The sequence below is a fragment of the Homo sapiens genome, chromosome 3, assembly GCF_000001405.40.
Source record: "Homo sapiens chromosome 3, GRCh38.p14 Primary Assembly".
Taxonomy (NCBI): domain Eukaryota; kingdom Metazoa; phylum Chordata; class Mammalia; order Primates; family Hominidae; genus Homo; species Homo sapiens.
The window spans coordinates 37,527,069-37,545,439 of NC_000003.12; the positions used below are offsets into that span (position 1 = coordinate 37,527,069).

The 18,371-nt window shown below is 47.5% G+C and overlaps 1 protein-coding gene across 1 annotated transcript in view, besides 1 other annotated feature; it reads left to right on the forward strand.

Annotated features, from left to right (window-relative positions):
• ITGA9 (integrin subunit alpha 9) overlaps positions 1 to 18,371 on the forward strand; it is a 371,367-nt gene that overhangs the window by 74,928 nt on the left and 278,068 nt on the right. The window contains exons 14-15 of the mRNA NM_002207.3: positions 6,246 to 6,400; positions 15,357 to 15,517. Coding sequence (NP_002198.2) covers positions 6,246 to 6,400; positions 15,357 to 15,517 — 316 coding nt within the window. The remainder of the gene's footprint in view (positions 1 to 6,245; positions 6,401 to 15,356; positions 15,518 to 18,371) is intronic.
• Positions 10,870 to 11,371: an enhancer, noted in NCBI's record as "H3K4me1 hESC enhancer chr3:37579429-37579930 (GRCh37/hg19 assembly coordinates)". NCBI's record gives its function as "activates a minimal SCP1, AML or CMV promoter by ChIP-STARR-seq in primed H9 embryonic stem cells {active_cell/tissue: H9 hESC(primed)}" and the evidence as "EXISTENCE:reporter gene assay evidence [ECO:0000049][PMID:30033119]".

Sequence of the window (18,371 nt, forward strand, 5' to 3'; positions counted from 1 at the left end):
GGTGAGTTTCCTGGGCAAGTCCCCTGACCTTTCTGTTTCAGGATTCTCCTCTGTTGGCCAGGACAGCAATACAGATGCTCCTTGACTTAGGATGGGGTTATTTCCAGATAAATCCATTCTAAGTCAAAACATGGTAGTTTCAACTTAGGATGGGTTTATCCAGATGTAGCCTCATGGTAAGTCAAGGAGTGTGCTGCATTCCTATGGCTTTTGCACCGTTGTGAAGTTGAAAAATCATAAGTTAAACCATTATAAGTCGGGGACTATCTGCAGTACATGTAAAATGTTCAGAACAGTGCCTGGTTTAACTGCTTAATAAATCTTAGCAAGTTTGATGTAAATTGGGTTAAATTTGCCTCCCTAAAATTCTGCTTCTCAGTCTTGTGTCTTTTATATAGCAACCCTTTAGTATCTGAAGGGGGCAATTGTGTCCCCCAAGTGGTGACTTCACTAAGATAAGGCCTCCCTGGTTCCTGTAATTATTTCCCATGTGACTGGATTTTCACTTTCTTTATCAGCGCTTCCTCTGGATAAAACAGCTTTTGTGGCTCCAAATGATTGAGGTTAGATTTGTGAATCTGGTTGCTCTAGTTGGTGCTTTCATGATGTCATCTTTGCTCTCTTCATTATCCTGAGCATCTTACTTTGGTTTGTCAGGATTCTTCTCAAATAAAACACACTCCTCAACTTTTACAGTTGAAAACAGGCTTTTTTTTTTTCTTCTTTTCTTTTTTTGAGATGGAGTCTTGCTCTGTCACCCGGGCTGGAGTGCAATGGTGTGATCTCAGCTCACCACAACCTCCGCCTCCTGGGTTCAAGTGATTCTCCTGCCTCAGCCTCCTGAGCAGCTGGGATCACAGGTGCACACCACCACACCTGGCTAATTTTTTAATATTTTTAGTAGAGACAGGTTTCACCATGTTGATCAGGCTGGTCTCGAACTCCTGACCTCGTGATCTGCCCACCTCAGCCTCCCAAAGTGCTGGGATTACAGGCGTGAGCCATTGCGCCTGACCCAACAGGCCCTCTTAAAACCGGGGCCATCTGGCTGAAGGTCCATCATATAGACTCTGCTTTCTCATCATTCTTGTATTTTTTAATCTTCCTGCTGTGAGCTTAATCCAAAGGGTATTTTCTTTTTCTCTTCTTCATGGTGAGGGACAGCCTTCTCCAGGAGTTTGCTCACATATGGATGTAAAGTAAAGCGAGGCAGTTACACAATGGGTGGGAGACCCCAGACTCCAGCCTAGGATGGAGGGTTGAATCTGGTGAGTTGGAGCTCAACAGGGACAAATGTAAAGTTCTTCAAGAAGAACTCCAGGGAGAGCACATATCAAGAGAAGAGACCTAGGAGAGGAGCCTGGGGAGCCCTGCCCTGAATAAGAGCATGGAAGGCCCAAGAAGAGTGGTCGGGCCATGACAGCTGTAGAGTAGCATGCAAGGATGTTGTGGTCACAATAATCCATTATCTTATTCATTCAGCTAAGGTGCATTGACCTGTTGAGATGCAGCCATGCATCAGATCCTGGGGATTTGATGGGAAACCTGACCTAGCCTGTGACCTTAGATTATAGCCAGAGAGCCATATGCAAGTGAATAATAATGCAACCAATGTTTGGTAAGCTCCTACCGCATGCCTGGCACAGTGTGAGCACTTCATTTGTGTTCATTCTTTGTTATTGTTTTCTTTCTGTATTAAGGTAGAATTTGCATGCAATAAAATGCACCAATTTGAGAGTATGACTCCATGAGTTTTGACCACTGCATACGCTGTGTGACTACCACCCCACCACAATAAAGAATACTTCTGTCACCCCAGAGAGTTTCCTTGTGCCTCTGGCTGGTCATACCCCTCTCCTGATAGACAACCACTGTTCTGACTTCTATCACCATAGATCCATCTTGCCCATTCTAGAATTTCACATTGGTGGGAATATACAGTATGGACTCTTGTTTCTGGCCTCTTTTAATCAGTGTGATGCATTTGAGATTCGTTCATGTTGGTGTGTTGCTTGTTTTTCCCCTTACTGAGTAGCACTCCATTGACTGAATATCCTTGAGTTTGTTCATCCATCCTCTTGTTGACAGAACACATGACAACTCTTAGTCTTCTTAACAATCCATGACATAAGTGGGGCTGTTATCCCCATTTTATGGGTGAGGAGACCAAGGACATGCAGATCTTATTAATATAAAAGGGAAGGTGATTCCAGATGGTGGTAGGTGCTGTGAGGATTCTAAGGCAGGGTTACTTGGTCAGGCAGTGGTGTCAAAGTCAGCAGGAAGGGCCAAGCAGAGTGAGGCCTGAGACTTGTTGGAGGTGGCAGGGGGAGGTCAGGGGTGCCCTTGGCTGTGGTGGCTCTAGAGAAGTGATGGGGCAAAAGCCAGATGGCAGTGGGTGGGTGAGAGAAGAAACAAGAAGGACAGTGACTCTTGACTGCTTCTCCAGAAGCTTGGCTGCAAAGGAGCAAATGGGACCAGCAGGTAGTTCAGGGAGGTGTTTTAAGGACGGGAAGCTCTAGATCAGTGATTAGGCCAAGAACGTCTTTGAGCCATTTTCTGGTCTCCCAAGTCCCTTACCCTCTTGGAAGAGATCAGAGGTGGTCACCCTCAGCTTCACCCTCATCTATGTGAACCCTGATGCCCTAACCCTGTGCCTACACCCAAGGGTCCTGGAGAGGTTGAAGAGACAAGAGGGAGGATGGGAGGCTGCTCCAGAGATGAGGGATGGGGGGATGAGGTTGGTGAGAGTGATGGAATCTGGTACATGGGCTGGGGGCGAGGGGCCCTCATCTTCTGAGCCAGGCCCCAAGATAGGAATAAGGTCAGAGCAAGGTTCAGTTCCGGTACATGGGCTGGGGGCGAGGGGCTCTCATCTTCTGAGCCAGGCCCCAAGATAGGAATAAGGTCAGGGCGAGGTTCAGTTTGGGATGTGGATGAGGATGAAGCAGAGGGTGACCACCCTGGTCTATTCCAGGAGGACAAGGGAATCAGGGAGAGCAGGGAAGGCTTCAAAGACAGGCTGGAGCCCCTAAGAGAGGAAGCAAGGTGGGGCAGGCAAAGGGGTTGCTGAGCATGTCTGAGGGGCCAGCAGGCTGGATGTCTGCAGGGGCAGCCGTTGATAAAGTCCCAGGATTCAGCTGAGCAGCAGTGAAGGCCTGGAGGCATCAGCTGGCTATGTTAAGTAGGGGCTTGGCTCAGCCTGGCCTAACTGATGTTAGATTTTGAGTTACTTTAGGTTTTGGGTGGGACTAGAAAAGCAGGGAGGGCTAGGAGACCACGCATGTGCAAGCACACATAGATATATATTGCCCATCGTTCCTAACCCTCCTAAGGGCAGGAGGCCAGAGGTATGTGGGTTAGGAATGCTATGGGCTGCAGCTAAGAGAAAACCTGGCTGAGGCTTTCAACTATATGACCTCAAATTAGCTCCCTGGAGATAGGTGGCCCCAGGGCTGGCTTAGTAACCTAACAATGGCACCAGTGGCACCAGGGGTGAAGGCTCTTTATCTGTCCTTGCCTTGCAGAAGGCCAAGGCACCTTGAGCAACATGTCAAAGGGCATCCCAACTGGTTGTATTATTTACCTTGAAGTGAAGTGACAGGATTTGAACTGTCAGCCCTCAGGGAGAAGTGTTCCAGCTACCAGGTTTTTTTTTTTTTTTTTTTTTTTTTTTTTTTTTTTTTTTTTTTTTTTTTTTTGAGACGGAGTCTCCCGCTGTCACCAAGGCTGGAGTGCAGTGGCGCGATCTTGGCTCACTGCAAGCTCTGCCTCCCGGGTTCACGTCATTCTTCTGCCTCAGCCTCCCAAGTAGCTGGGACTACAGGTGCCCGCCACCACACCCAGCTAATTTTTTGTATTTTTAGTAGAGACAGGGTTTCACCGTGTTAGCCAGTATGGTCTCGATCTCCTGACCTTGTGATCCACCCGCCTCAGCCTCCCAAAGTGCTGGGATTACAGGCGTGAGCCACCGCGCCCGGCCGCTACCAGCTTCTTAAGAAAAAAAAAGCACTGAAAGCGCTTGTGGTGCTGTCCTTGGGTGCTCCTTTGCTTTTATCTCAGAGGCTGGCACATTTGTAGGCAGGACTGTGAGACACAGTCTCCCCTGCCCCCAGGAGTGTGGCTGGCCCGCTCTGCCCTCAGGAAGTTTGCTTCCCTCAGATTAGCTCCGGGGCAGGTCCTGTGTCAGGGTGATAGGCACACGGTGCTCTCCCATTGAAGGTCACAGGAAGCGATCAGAGAGGCCTCTGAAAGATTTCTGGGCTTTTCTTCATCCAAAAACAATACTTGGAGTTGAAACAAAAAGGTTGAAGGGAACTGATCCGACAGCTGTGGGAAGGAGATGTACCTGTGAAGGTCCCTGTGGTCCATTTCAAAGGATACTGTTTTTCCAACTTCCACTGAGGTCACTGTGTCTGGGCTGCCCACGTCTGTTTCCTGCCTGCCGCACTGTCTTCTGCAGAGCTCTTTTGTGAGAGGAGGATTCGGCCTCCTCCCTGACGAGGTGGCCCCTGGGGATGATGGGGCGGGCTAGGCTTTTCTTCTGTACCATGACCAGGCGCGTCAGGGACCAGGCAAGGTGGAGACCAGCTCTTCATGGTACTTCTGTCCATCTGTGAGGCTTTGGACACTCGTGGTTTTCAGTCTCCTAGGCTGGAGTAAAATTTGTACTTATTTAACAAGGGTGTTTGCACATTTATTATGGGAACGAGAGGATGAATTCACCGGATCCCAGCCCTTGCAGGGTGCTGCAGGATGGTGGGGCAGGTTTGGAAATAGACAATGACTGTTCACCTTAGTAAGTGGGGGCCAGAGGTGTGTGTACAGAGCTGGAAGCACAGAGAGGGAGGATGCCTGTCAGGGGTACTAGAGAAGGCTTCCTCAGGGTGGGAACATTTGAGCTGGCTGTTGAAAGGTCGACGGGGTTTTATAGGGTGTCCATTGGCATCTGCACAATCACACTGGCCAGGGGTAAGAGATCCACTTTCCGATTTATTTCTAGTATCCTATAAGGATGAACCCAGAAGAAAATGGAAAGACTAAGGTGTTGGCCTTCTTTCAGGCACTGCTATTGTCTGACTTCCGTTTGTCCTGTGGCCAGATTTGCTCTGGAAGTCCCGCAGTTCCACTGCCTCTGTTATCACTACTCTCTGTTGACCCCATCTCCCAGCATGGTGGCAGCAGTGGAGTCCCCTCACCCTATCTGTGCCTCGTGTCTCTTCACTTCCTTTGTTCACCCAGATTTTCCTTAACGCTTTCTTCCATTGGAGTTGGTGTGGGTCATCATTCCCATCCGCCCTATCACCCTGGGCTCTCTTTGAGGGATCATTGTACACAGGGGCATCATTGTTCTCAAGCTACTAATGCCCCTTAATCTTGTTATGTCACCCCAGTGGTGTGAAGGCCAGGGCTCCTTAGAGGTAAAAGGGTCTCTTTGTGAGGCCTGGAGGGGAGAAGGTTGAGCGGTAGCTTAGGTGAATGCTGCCTGAGCAGATGTCTGCAGTGGGAGCAGAATGGTGTGATTTACTCTTTGTTTTTGTGGGATGTCCTTGGGGAGCCCACAGGTGCTGTCCATTCATCAAGCACTGGGAGATGGTCCATGGCAGGGAGGAGAGTATGGCTATTTATTGAGTTTCATTTGGTCATAAGACTGGGCAGGTTGATTTCTTCTGCCCTGAAGCACTTTGCTATTACCAGCTGGGACTCCACTTATCAAGTTCTTTTAGGAAATTACCCAATGAATTGGTGGAGGTAAATGATGCAGGAGGTTTGACCAACTGCATGGGGCTACAACATTGCAGTTCATGCTCATAATGGCAGCAAATGCTTGAGGGAATCCCTGAGTATGCATCTATTTCTTGAATCATGGCATCTGCTATAGGAAATCCTCTTAAATGTATTCTTATCTCCCTAATAAAATGGAAATTGGTACTTAATTGGTAAAATTTTAAATAATTACCCAGCATCTGGTGGTTCATTTATGGCTTCAACCAGATGCGTTTTATTAACAACAAACTTGCTTTTATTATTGGGACGCTAACTATTAATTTACTAGGCAATATGCCCCTTCTAAAACCAGAAAAAAATGCTCACAGAACATACTAGCCCTTCTCTCTTGGGATATTTCATGCTTTAATTAAATGCTGGGTTGAAGGCCTAGGATTTATCCTGTTGGTCTAGTTCTTGTTTGGTTCTGAGAGCTGCTCCTTACCACGACTAAGTCACCTTCCTCTCTTGCCCTGCAGAGCAAGGCCTGTCATTACGGTGGATGTCTCCATCTTCCTCCCGGGCTCCATCAACATCACAGCGCCTCAGTGTCACGACGGACAGCAGCCTGTGAACTGCCTGAACGTCACCACCTGCTTCAGCTTCCATGGCAAACACGTTCCAGGAGAGATTGGTAATGAGCCACCAAGTCAGGGCTCAGGATACCCGTTTAGCTGGAGTGGGCTAGTGGGATATTTCCGATGTTCCCTGTCGCTGTTCCTCCCAGCTGGTTTTGCAGGCAGCAGGCACACAGGCTGGACATCCTTTCCCTCTGAGGTTCCTCCCCTTCTATTTCCTGCTTATCAACATGTTTCTAATGTCACACAACCTCCAGCTCTAGGACAAATAATGTTGGACCCCAAGCATTCTTTTTGCAAATATGAGGGCTAGACTGAAGCCTCATTGGACCACAGGTCCTATGGGACTGGTGGAGATATAGTGCCCGGAGCCTGGCCCTTAGGGAACATTCGAGCAGTTAGAAAGCAGAAGTGACAGGACTTTGGAGGCTCCTTATTGAGCTTGTAGCATCAGCCAGATGTCAGGGGACTTATACCATTTACTATGGAATTGGAGACCAAAGATGGATGGTGGGATTCGGATGCTGGTGTTACAGAGGCTTAGGTTTCTAAAAGAGGGGTGCTGCTTTGGCAGCTCAGAATTGAAAAGAGGCAGGCATTGTCCTGACAGCTGGTAACTGTCCCTGCCATTTTTCTGGCTGGGGAAAATCAACTTGCTAGCCCAGCTCTAGAGACTGGATTAAACCCCAGAACAAGATAGAACCAGTGTTGATTGGAATTCAGAGCACGTGATCACCTGAAGGAAATGAATCTGGAGCTTTATGCATATTACTAGGTGCTTCATTTTTATTTAAAAGGCTGATTTAATAATAGAAAGAAAAACTCCAGGCAAACAAAAACACTAACAGGGACCTGAACCTACTGACGTTCTTAGATATTTTTAATGTCATGAGTGACTCCTTTTGCTACTCACAGTGTAGCCCCTGGCCTAGCATTGTCAGCATCACTGGGAACTTGTTAGAAATGCAGGACTTTGGGCTCCGCTTTGGACTTCTGAATCAGAATCTTCATTTTCACAAGAGCCCCACAAGATTCCTGTGCACATTTAAGTTTGAGAAGCACTGCTGTGGAGCACACATGTGTGCACACACGCCCACTCATGCAGAAATATTTACGTGAGCTAGTTCATTCCTCAGCCACACCTCAAATGTTCTACCTTATTTAATATGTTCATCCTTCTTGGCTGTCTCATTGGCAATTTCTCTTGATCTTCAGGTATATTGAATAAGCTCAACTATTAAACATATTTATTTTATCATTTTTTAAAAAGAGCTTAGAAATTTCAACATTGAATGAAACCATACCATAAAACTTGGGAACTGGTTAGTGAGGGAGGATTAACAACATTTTCTTGTGCAGCTCAATGAGAAAGAGCAGCTCACTCAAGATCACACAGATATTGTTGAAGCCAGGAGTTGAATTTGGATCTTATGATACTTAGTTTTGCTTTCTAACAACTATTTCTCACCACCTCCATAATTGTTTAAGATACTACAGTCTTAAGGAAAAAAGCTTTCTGATAGTTCTGGGACTCGTGTGTCCTCCACATAATTAAGCAGTCTGTCTTCTGTCCAGTGCCAGCTCATCACGTAGTTGGACTCTGTTAAAAAACATTTTTAAAGAATGAAGATTAATTTTGATACACATAAGAATGAGAACTATTCTAGAACTCTCAAAAAGGGCAAACGAGTAATAGTTTCTGTGTATGTTCATTTGACACATGCTTATTATGTATCCACATGTGCCAGGCACTGGAGATATAGTCCTGCCCTCATGGAGCTTCTAAAGGGAGTTACAAAGAGTTTCTACTATTTTGGCCTTGAAGCAGTGTTAGACAACGTTCACTTATCGCTGTTGTGAAAGTGAAGGTAAATTGGCATAGCTGAAGCAGAGAAGAAGAAACCAAGATGCAAGTTAGAGCAAGAGTGATTCAGAGCATGAGACAAGTGGTAGAGCAAACTCTGATTTGAAGGTTCATGAGCTGAGCGCAGAGGAGATGTGGGTGCCTCCTCATGCTGTTCCCGACCAGTGGCTCTTTCTGGGGCCCCATCTAGCATGAGCCTTTCACAGACTGCTAAGCATAATTAGAATGAAGGTCTAGGCTTAGCCATAGCCCCAGAAGTGTTGGGGTAAAGTGGAAGAGGCTGGCAGTTGGATGGCATCTTGTACTGTACCTTGTGGGCAATGCGAAGCAACCTGGCTTATATCTGACATTAGGTGGGGCCCATTCAGCACCAGTGTACCCTCCCATTAATTTCTCTTCCCTATCCTCCATCTGCCACATGGGTTCATAGATAAAGTCAAACATCCCTTTACACTCTAAGGGTGTGTTTCCCCGATAATCAGGCTTAAAGGGGATGGTAACTGGAGAATTTTGATATCTCAATATAATAAGGCAATGCAGAAAATTATTCATCCCCAGCATGTTTCTGTCACTTTCTCTGGCATTCATATCTCAATCTTTGCAGTAGAAAGAGAAATGTAGAAATCTGCCAGAAAATGTGCTGGCAGTGAAATGGAGAGTTTGGGGAGGGAAAAATGGGCAGGCCTTATGGAAATGTGATAGGAAATGAGGTGGAGGTGAAAGGTCAGGTAACTGTGGGGGCCCAGCTCTGGGTGAGGTGTCCTAGAATTCAGCAAGGAAGGCAGCCTCTTGGCTCTGCACAGTTTGGAAGGTCAGTCTTCAGATGGAGGAAAGATGGGCACTTCCAGGACACAGATACCCTCCACTTCCATCCAAGCTCAGCAGAGGGTGCTGGCCAACTCTGTCATCTCCAGGCCTCTGCCTCAGGAACCCACAGCTGAGACACTGGGTTACCAGCCTTCCTACTCTTTGTGCTGGCAGCTGCAGAGGAACCATGTGGATGATGACTTTGTCCATGGAATGCCTGGTGAATGAGTGCCAGCCCTGGGCAGGCCTTCCAGGCACCTCTCAATGTCTGCATATCTTGGGCTGAGTTTGTTAGCAGGACGGCTGCATTTGGGCAGAGCAATACACAGATACCTGTGGTGGGCTAGGTACTGCTGTCAGAAGTGGTATCTTCTGTGGTATTTATCTGCTGCTGTCTTCAGCTACATGACCTGCTCTCTGAGGATGGTTTTGAGAGCCATAAGCAGCTGATGTTAGTCTTGTGCCTTTGGTTTCTTCTTCTCTACCTGGCAGGGTTCAAGCCTATGTACAGAGAAGGGACACCAACTGCCTCTTTATTTCCTGCTTTAGAAATGGGAGACCACAGTGCCTACTTGGTCATGGGAGTGTTCAGGACCAGCTCATTAGCGGGACACAAGCTGCTGTAGCCTCTGTAAATACTGTAGGAAATACAGACTTTCTCTGTAGGAGGTGAATCTGCCTTGGCCTCTGAAACAGGCAGAGTCCAGTCAGGAAAACAAAAACCATACCAGTTATTTTAACAGAGGAAATTTAGCACTGGGAATGGGTTAAACAGGTCATGGACGACCTGGGAGTAACTGCAGGAAGCAGCTGCCGCCTCCAGGTCTGCACCAGTGGATCTCAAAGTGTGGTCCCAGACCAGCTGCATTAGCATCACCTGGGATCTCATTAGATATGCAAATTCTGACTAGAAACTCTGAAGGTGGGACCCACATCTGTGTTTTTACAAGCCTCCAGATGGGTTCAATTTGAGAACCACTGTTCAAGGTTATACTTCGGGTTAACCACTTCCTTGGGGTTATCAGAACCTATGAGCTTGGAGAAGGGGCCCTGCGGAGCTAGGACCTGAACCTCTGAGGAGGGGGCTGGTGCTGCTGATCTCTCTGAGGGAGTGCAATGAGGCTGGCTCTGGGAGAATGGGGGGAAAATTGAAAACTACAATTAACTGCTGTTGGGGCCAGCTGCCGTGAGAAACTGTTGCTGGGATAAGCTGCTAGGAATAGGAAGCAGGGAGGAAGGAGCGAGTTCCTTTGCCCTCTCCAGCCTTGCAGGCTCCCTCCGATGCTCCATATTAGCAGAGCCTCACAGCAAGCCTCTGGCAAAACAAGTGAGGTTTGCAGGGTCCCAGCTCCAGTGTCACAGTGCAGGGTAGAGAAGGGTGGGTTGGAGCTGAGGACAACAGCTTCATAAACCAGCACAGCAAGCATCCAGTTACATTGAGTTGCTGAATCCCTGTTGGGTCATTCAATCAAACAATAATAATTAAGGTCCTACAGAGTGCCAGACACCCTGCTTATCCTGGGGCACGGAGCAGTGAGCAGGACAGGCAAAGTCCTTGCCCTCATGGAGCTGGCATTCTAGTGGGAGGGGGGCAGGCAGACGGGACAAAAACAACCAGCTGCTCTCTTGCTGGCTTTTCTAGATGAGCTCCGGGCCCCTTGTGTGGCATGCACTGTGCTTAGCACTGGGACACAGACAGACACAGACTTCTCACTCCGACTGTGGGCTCCTCCAGGAGCAGGTTTACAACGTATTTCATAAAGCACTTTAAAATAGGAGTTCTTCCTGTCCCTAATAGTATTATTCATCACTTCATTCTTGGCCTGGGAACAGCCTGTGGCCCCTTGGAGCCTCCTGGCTAGCATAGGTGAAGGTGGTGAATGCTTTGCCCAAGGGGACCCTGCCCCTCACCCGTGGACGGTGCTTGTACCTACTCACTGGCCAGGCTGAAGCCTAAACTTGCTTGTCAATCTCTGGAGGCTGGGAATCAAGCTGGCAGTTCTGGGCTTTCACCAGAGTGTGAAACGAAAACCAGGAAGGGGCGCTCTCTGAGTGATTGCATTTTGCACTCTGACCCAGTGCTCCTGTGTTTCCATGGTTAGCCTGAAACTCGGGAAGGAGAATTTGTTAGAATTTCACAGCTGAAATCTTGTTCTGACGGAGAGCAGGAATTAATCAAAACTTGCTGGGAGAGACCAGAGCTAGAGTTGATGAGAGACAGCTGGCTCCCTCCTGGCCCAGGCCCGTGCAGGGGGGCTCCTCGGGAAGCAGCCGGGGGCAGGGCAGGGAGGTGGCTGAAAGTATTACTCGGGGCTGATCAGCTTTTCCATCACCATGACATCATTCGACATGGCAGGGACACAAGCTGCCAGAAGGAAAAACCTAAAGATGTGAAATGTGCTGTTGGAGCAGGCCCTAATCAGAACTAGCAGCCTCCCAGGGACAGACAGGGGCTGGCCAGGCTGGCTTACCTCATGGCCGGCTGTGGGCAACTTGGACAGCCTGATCCACCCACCTTCCCAGGGCCCTGACCGCGGAGCCCGGGCAGCTGATCGGCTGCTTCCCAGACATGTCCTCTGCTTCCCTTTCCACCAGACCCTTTACCAGTGGGTGCTGGTAAAACTGCCAGTTCCGCTCAGGGCTTTGGAATGAGTGGTCAGCATTTCTTCTTGCCTCCTCAGGCAGGGTCTCTCGTTGTGACTCTTGCTTTCTTCTAGAGGAGACAGTCTGATGTAGAAGTAATTTCCTTTGGGGTAATTTAAAATGTCAAAATTTAAATCAAGGAAAAGTACTAATTAGGCAGTTCTAGAGATGAAATGCTTCCAGAATGATTGCACTTGGTGAATTGGATAATGCGGTATGTCTGTGATTGTATGTTTTAACATTTTAGAGAAATCTGAAAGTTTAATGTGCTGGCATGCACACACCCCGCTGGAGAGGAGCAGCAGTTGCCTTGTCCTCAGCTCAGTTTCTGTGAACTGTGGGTTGTTTCTCTCTTCCTTGAGTTGCAAGAGATCAGTACTTCCGGATCAGTACTTCTGCAGTGAGATGAAACTTTGGAGGAGTAAAGTTGGTGTTTGTAAATTATCTAGCACAGTGCTTGGCACACGTTGCAGGTTGAATTTATTTGCTTTTCCTTACTTACCCTGTGTTAATATGGGTTCTCCCCAAAACAGAGCCTGGGTCAAGGATCTGAGTGCATGTGGTTGATACACAAATGATCCCAAGAGGTACCAGTAAGGAAATGGGACAGTGAGACAGGAAAGGAAGGCAGTTGCAGGCCTCAGGCTTCTCCAGAGAAACAGAATGGAGAGAGAAAGAAATGGATTAGTTGGTTGATTTTCAGGAATTGGGTTGTGAGATTATGAGGTCTGGGAAGTCTGAATTCTTGGGGGCAGGCCAGTAGGCTGGAGACTCAGGGAAGAGTTGATGTTGCAGCTCAAGTCTGAAAGCAGTCTAAAAGCAGTTTATTTTTTTGGGAACCTTAGTCTTTTTCTCTTAAAACCTTCAACAGATGAGGCTTGCCCACATTTTGGAGGGTAATCTGCTTTATTCAAAGTCTACTGATTTAAATGTTAATCTAATATAAAAAAATACCTTCTCAGTGACATCTAGATTGGTGCTTGACCAGATTCTGGGTACTGTGGCCCAGCCAAGTTGACACATAAAATTAGCCATCAGAGCAGCCAAATAGAGGGTGTCTTATTGAGCAGGTTACCACTGTGGGCAGCTGGAGCTCAGTCCTGCTGGGGAACCCTGGCAGTCAGTGTAGACCGTGCCCCAGAATTACCCCACATCAAGGGGCAAGGGAGCTGGGGCCCTGCATTATGGAGGGCTGCTCTGGGGACTTGAGTTCCCTGGCACTCCTGGCTTGCCAGGCACATGGACAGAGCCACTAGAGAAAGCCCTCAGGAGAAGAGATGCAGGTACTGGCAGTTGCAATTTGGGCCGGACAGCAGAGAAATGGTAAAAGCCAAGAGGATATGGGTGGGGGAGCAATACCATCAGTTCCATCTTCCTGTGTTCCTTTCCACCCAGGTTTTCTCTGAGCTCAGCTAGTTCATCTCTGGTAAGATAGTCCAGTCTCGCTGTTCTCTCCATTGTCTCCCTTCCTGAGGGAAGGCAGCCATTCACCTGGGAAGGAGGCTGGTCAGGGGACCCCGAGGAGAGTCTGCTCAGCAGCTGCCTCCACCACATTGGTTCACCCAACTGTGGCCTCTGGCTTGTCTTCCAGCAATGTGTATCTGTAGCCATGACTTTGCTTAAGCGAACTTGGAAATTCACTTCATTTAAATGTAATCTTTCTTACTTCAGGGCAGTTGTTCAGGGAAGTTGTGATCAGTAGAAAGTAAATTGGCTAGAGTTCAGTTGTAGATCTCTGCACTTGTTTGGACCTGCTATCCATGCATTCAAAAAAATGGGAGGTTTTGGTCAAGTAATGTACAACATGCAGCAAGAACAAGTGTGGTGGGAATAGCCTGGCACCAGAGATTAAGGGAGTCCTAGATTCAGCTGTTTGATGGGTGGCCCTCTGGCCTGGAGCAAGTCTTGTTCCCTTTTGGGGCCTCAGTTCCCTCATCTTAAAAAATGAAGGTTTTTGAGCTTAGTGGTCTCCAGGATTGCCTCAAAGCTTTGCCAGTCTGAATCTACCCTTTTCTTGCTATTGTCCCCATTGGAGTTGGTGTGTGACACTTGCACAGGTGCCAGTGTTTTCTGTGTGGGAGCACTTTCCTGTATGCATTATTTTCTTCTTAATAATGGCACCTCCTGAGAGTTTCCAGGTCTCAGATCCCTTCTGGTGACACAGCCTTGCCTTGTAAGTCAACTGTTTGCTGGCGTTAAACAAGTTGGGGCAGATGGCTCTGCTGACTAGGAATTTGCCAGCTCGGCATGGCAAGATCCCTGAGATGGCAGAGGCCCAGGGAGGCCATTAGAAGCATCAAAAATACGCCCTGTGGCAGGTGCAGAATGCCCATTCAGGTCACCTTCCTCTCTGCCTGTTCATACCTCCCCTGGTGGCTGATCCCATTGATGTCATTAAAAGCCGGAGCCTTCCCTAATGCCTGACTTCACTTACTTAAATGCCAGTGGGCTCGGGGCTACTTGTTACTGATGCAAAGCCCCCAGATTCTAAGAGGCAGGTGTGTGGAGACAGGGCAGGGCTGGGTCATCTGCCTTCTGTTGCTTAGCCATCTTGCCTTGTCATTCCAGGGACAGAGATTCCTGTTCTCTCACTTTAAAAATAACATATTTCCTTGAATCCCCAAAACAGTTAAAAAATAAAAAGGGTTACGGAGGGGATGACCTCTGGCACAGAAAAGCAGTAAAATAGGTGTATTGACACTGAAGTCATATTTCTATAATGAAATACATACCTATCTATTTACTTATTGACTCTGAAATAACAGAGGTAGATCCTTCCAGGTTTATCTAGCCTGCATTTGATACTGTGATCATCTTTTTTTTCCTTCTTTCTTTCTTCTTTTTTTTAAATTCAAGACTGTGTTACAAAAGTTCTGCCATCTGGCATACACATTCAGGTATGGGGGTGAGTTATTCTTTGCAGGAGAGGACCTCAGTACAGGCCCTACCGTGGTCATAGTTTTGTTGAAAGGATAGGCACTACAAAATGTTTGATCACCACACTCGGCTACCTGGGAATAAAGGCAACTCCAGCCTTCATCTGGGTTCCTGTGCATGTAAACTACCTGAAGGCAGGAGTTTATGCCTGCGTTGTTCATTGATACATCCCCTCTACCTTTAGCGGTGCCTGGCCTATAGTTAGTGCTCAGTAAACGATGGCGGGCACATGGTCTGGTCCATGTACTGATTATAGAGCACGACTCAACTTTGTTGAGATGAGTTAAAATTATCAGACGAGATGGTTCCCTTGTGTTGGGCATAAACCATGTGCTTTATAGAAGTCAGTATTACACAAAGCCTTGATAATTTCAGCAGCTTCTGGTAATGTTCTGTAGGTTTGTCATGATGTTTTGCTTGTCAGGACACTAACCTGTGTTGGGTACACCTTGTTAATGGGCATATTGCTGGCTCAGTTGATACCTCATGATGGCATGAGGTTTAAATCAGGGAGAGCCGTGAAGTATGACACAAGGAGAGTCATTAGAAAGGCAGAGGACATCATGCTTCTCTCTCGATTCTTTGAGCACCCTGGCTGTGTGCTGCTTTCTGAGCAAGTCTCTGCTTGGGGCTGCAGTCTCCTGCCATGGAAGGGTAGGTATCATATGAGATGTGCATGTGATCCTGTGACAAGGAAAAGAGGTGGCCTCATCACAGTGTGTCGGTCCTTTCTGACATTTTGACCTCTCATTTATTGGCAGGCCTGAATTATGTTCTGATGGCTGACGTGGCCAAAAAGGAGAAGGGCCAGATGCCCAGGGTCTACTTTGTGCTGCTGGGAGAGACCATGGGTCAGGTCACAGAGAAGCTGCAGCTGACTTACATGGAGGAGACGTGTCGTCACTATGTGGCCCATGTGAAGGTCAGTCCTCTCCTCCTTTTTATCCTCAAACTTTGATCTCTGCAGATGTTCACTTGGAGCTGGTGGAAACTATTTTTATTATGTATTATGTGTGCTCTTCCAAAATTTTATTTCACAGGGAGGAGCATATCCATTTCTTCTTTTCTTTTAAAGTTGGCCTCTGACAGCCCTTTTATTTATCTTACTGTGTTGATTTCAGCCTTTAAGGGGGGTCGTGGTGGTCTAGGAGACCAGTGATGGTCCCTGGCTTTGACTTGTTCTTTTGAGAGGTTTCTCATCCTCTCCCCTCTATGAGGCTTGGTAGCCTTTTCAGAGGAGAGCCTTGGAAGCATGTGCCTCTGGGTCTGCAGTGATGCTGGATCACACTGCACCTGATGCCTTTCTCAGTGGTCTACTACAAATTAGCTCATGGTCACAGTTAAGGCATTTTAAAACTGGTTGGACTAGATTCTTCCCCCTTGACTACTTTCTATTTATTTTAGGATGCATTTTTTGGCAACCTTTCCCCTCGCACTCTAAATAAACTTGCAAATGTTTTTCTCCTCTTGAAATTGTTTGTTAAATACACTTTGCTGCTAATTCAGGAGGCCAGGCTTTGATTAGCTACAGAGTGGCCCTTGCAGCAGGCGCTGGCAGGGTGGAAGACCTGGCAGTGCCTGATGCTGCAGGAATGGCCAGACACTGACCCATGGGCAGGGTCAGAGAGCGGAGGAGGTGGAAGAATGCACTTAATCCAGGCCACATGGTGGGTGGAATGAGCATGGGTTTTGGAGACACATAGATCCAGTGTGTATCCAGCTGGACACATAATTGTGACCTCTCCCTGTCTCAGTCTCTGCATCTCTAAAATGGACACAGTAGTCCTTACCTTGAAAGGTGGTCATCAGGATTAAACATTACACAATGAATTTACTTAAAGGACCTTGAATGGTGTCTGATAAATAGAAAGCAACCAAATTATTATTATTTGGTTGGGCTGTATATAATTGCCAATATTCTTTTTGACTTACAAAAATGGAAATTTCATATAGCTCAACCCAATATTGTTTATTAGCCACTGGATTTCTGACTGATAGTTTGAAAAGTCTGCAGATTAGAGATGAAGTGTCCTCCTGTTAGTGCCAGAGCAGAAGAATAACAGCTGCTTCTAGATGCTTCAGGGCTGTGTATAGAGAGATGCCCCACACACCCATGGCCCAGAGCCCATGAGTCCATGCCCCTCAGATGCTTCTCAGTGGGGCTGGGCTGTGTCTTCTGCCAGGACTCCTGCAGGGGCCTGCCCAGACCAGCTGCCTGAGGGCTTGGGATGCTGGCCATTTATAAAGCTGCTCCTGTGCCTGTTAAGCCATACAGCCCCGCCCCGTCAGTCTTAGATTACATTGGCTTGTTGGTGCCTTTGGTGGGGTGTGAGGCTGCGCAGTACAGGCTCGTATGCAAACACTGTCAGGCCTTTGAATGCCTGTGATTGGTGTTTTTATACCTGCTGGGGACAGGGCATCTTCTCTCGGGCCTCTTCTTGCTAGGTCTGTTCACAAAACCTTTCCTTTAGGTTTCTTTGCAGCTTCTTGCTTTGGCTGAGAAGTTATCCTTTGTTCCTAGTTACCAAGGGTACTGGCTATGAGATGCCACGTAGAGTGGCAATAGTGAAGTGCAGGCCAGAGGAAGGGCTGTTTCTATGGTGGCCCTGAGGGTTACTGGGAAGGATCAGGGTTGCGCAAGGGGTTGGTCCTGCTACTTTCTGATATCTAGGGTTGCCAGACTTAGCAAATAAAACTATAGAACTCCTAATTAAATCTGAATTTCAGATCACCAATGAATAATTTTTTAGTATGAGTGTGTCCCAAATATTGCATGGGATATACTTATACTAAAAACATTTTGCTGTTTATCTGAAATTTAAATTTAACTTGGCATCCTGTTGGCAGATTCAACTCTGCTGATCTTCCTCTACCCAACAAGTGGCATTTCTTCACTCAAGCAAAACCTGGCTGCCAAGAAGAGAGATTGAGATGATGGTTAGAAGAGTTTGGAGGCTGAGCTCAGGGCTCTCGAGTGCAGATCCAGCACAGACCTTGACGTGATTATTTTGGTCATTCTAGGGAGAGCAAAAGAGCAGGCCTGCTTCAGTGAATTGGGACCTAGAGTCATTTGGATACAGTGGTTGCTTGGCCATTTTCTCATGCAAGGAGGTGGGAGCGGAGAAATACACCAGATAGACACATGTCTCTGAGACCTTTATGGTTCAAGAGGCAACATTGTTGCCAAGGTACACTCAAGGTGGCTGATACTTTATAGCCATACTTTATAACCATGAGAATGTTTATTTCTGGCAGTTACTGTCTGGGCTGTAGCAGAGGACTGGGCAAATGGCAGAGTGCACCCGTAGGATGAGTGCTAATGGCCTAGCTAGCTGTCCACAGAGGAGGCAGCAGGCACCGCCCCGGCTTACTGGCTGTGGGAACACAGCTATGGAAGCTGAGGCAGGAAGCAAGGATGAGGGGAAGGGGAGTGGCAGCCGGGCCACCTCCTGGAGCAGGAACTGGGGCCTGGGGGGTGTTGGTCAGGGGTCAAGAGCAGGATGCAGTCTCTACTGCAAGTGGAGCTTTCTCAGTGGAGCTGGCTCTCGGCTTTATGGACAAATCAAAGAAGATAAATAAAAGCATTCTGGCTTATCACACACCATATGGCTAGCAGACAGTGGGGCCAGCATGAGGGGCTGGGCCTGCTTTGTTTAGGCTATCTTTAGGTATTTTTTTCTTTTTTTCTTTAAGCCTATTCCAATCTTTTTTTTTCTCCCTCTCCTTTTCCCTGGAAGTTTTCTTGCCATATATGGTGATAAGTGACTTTATCATGG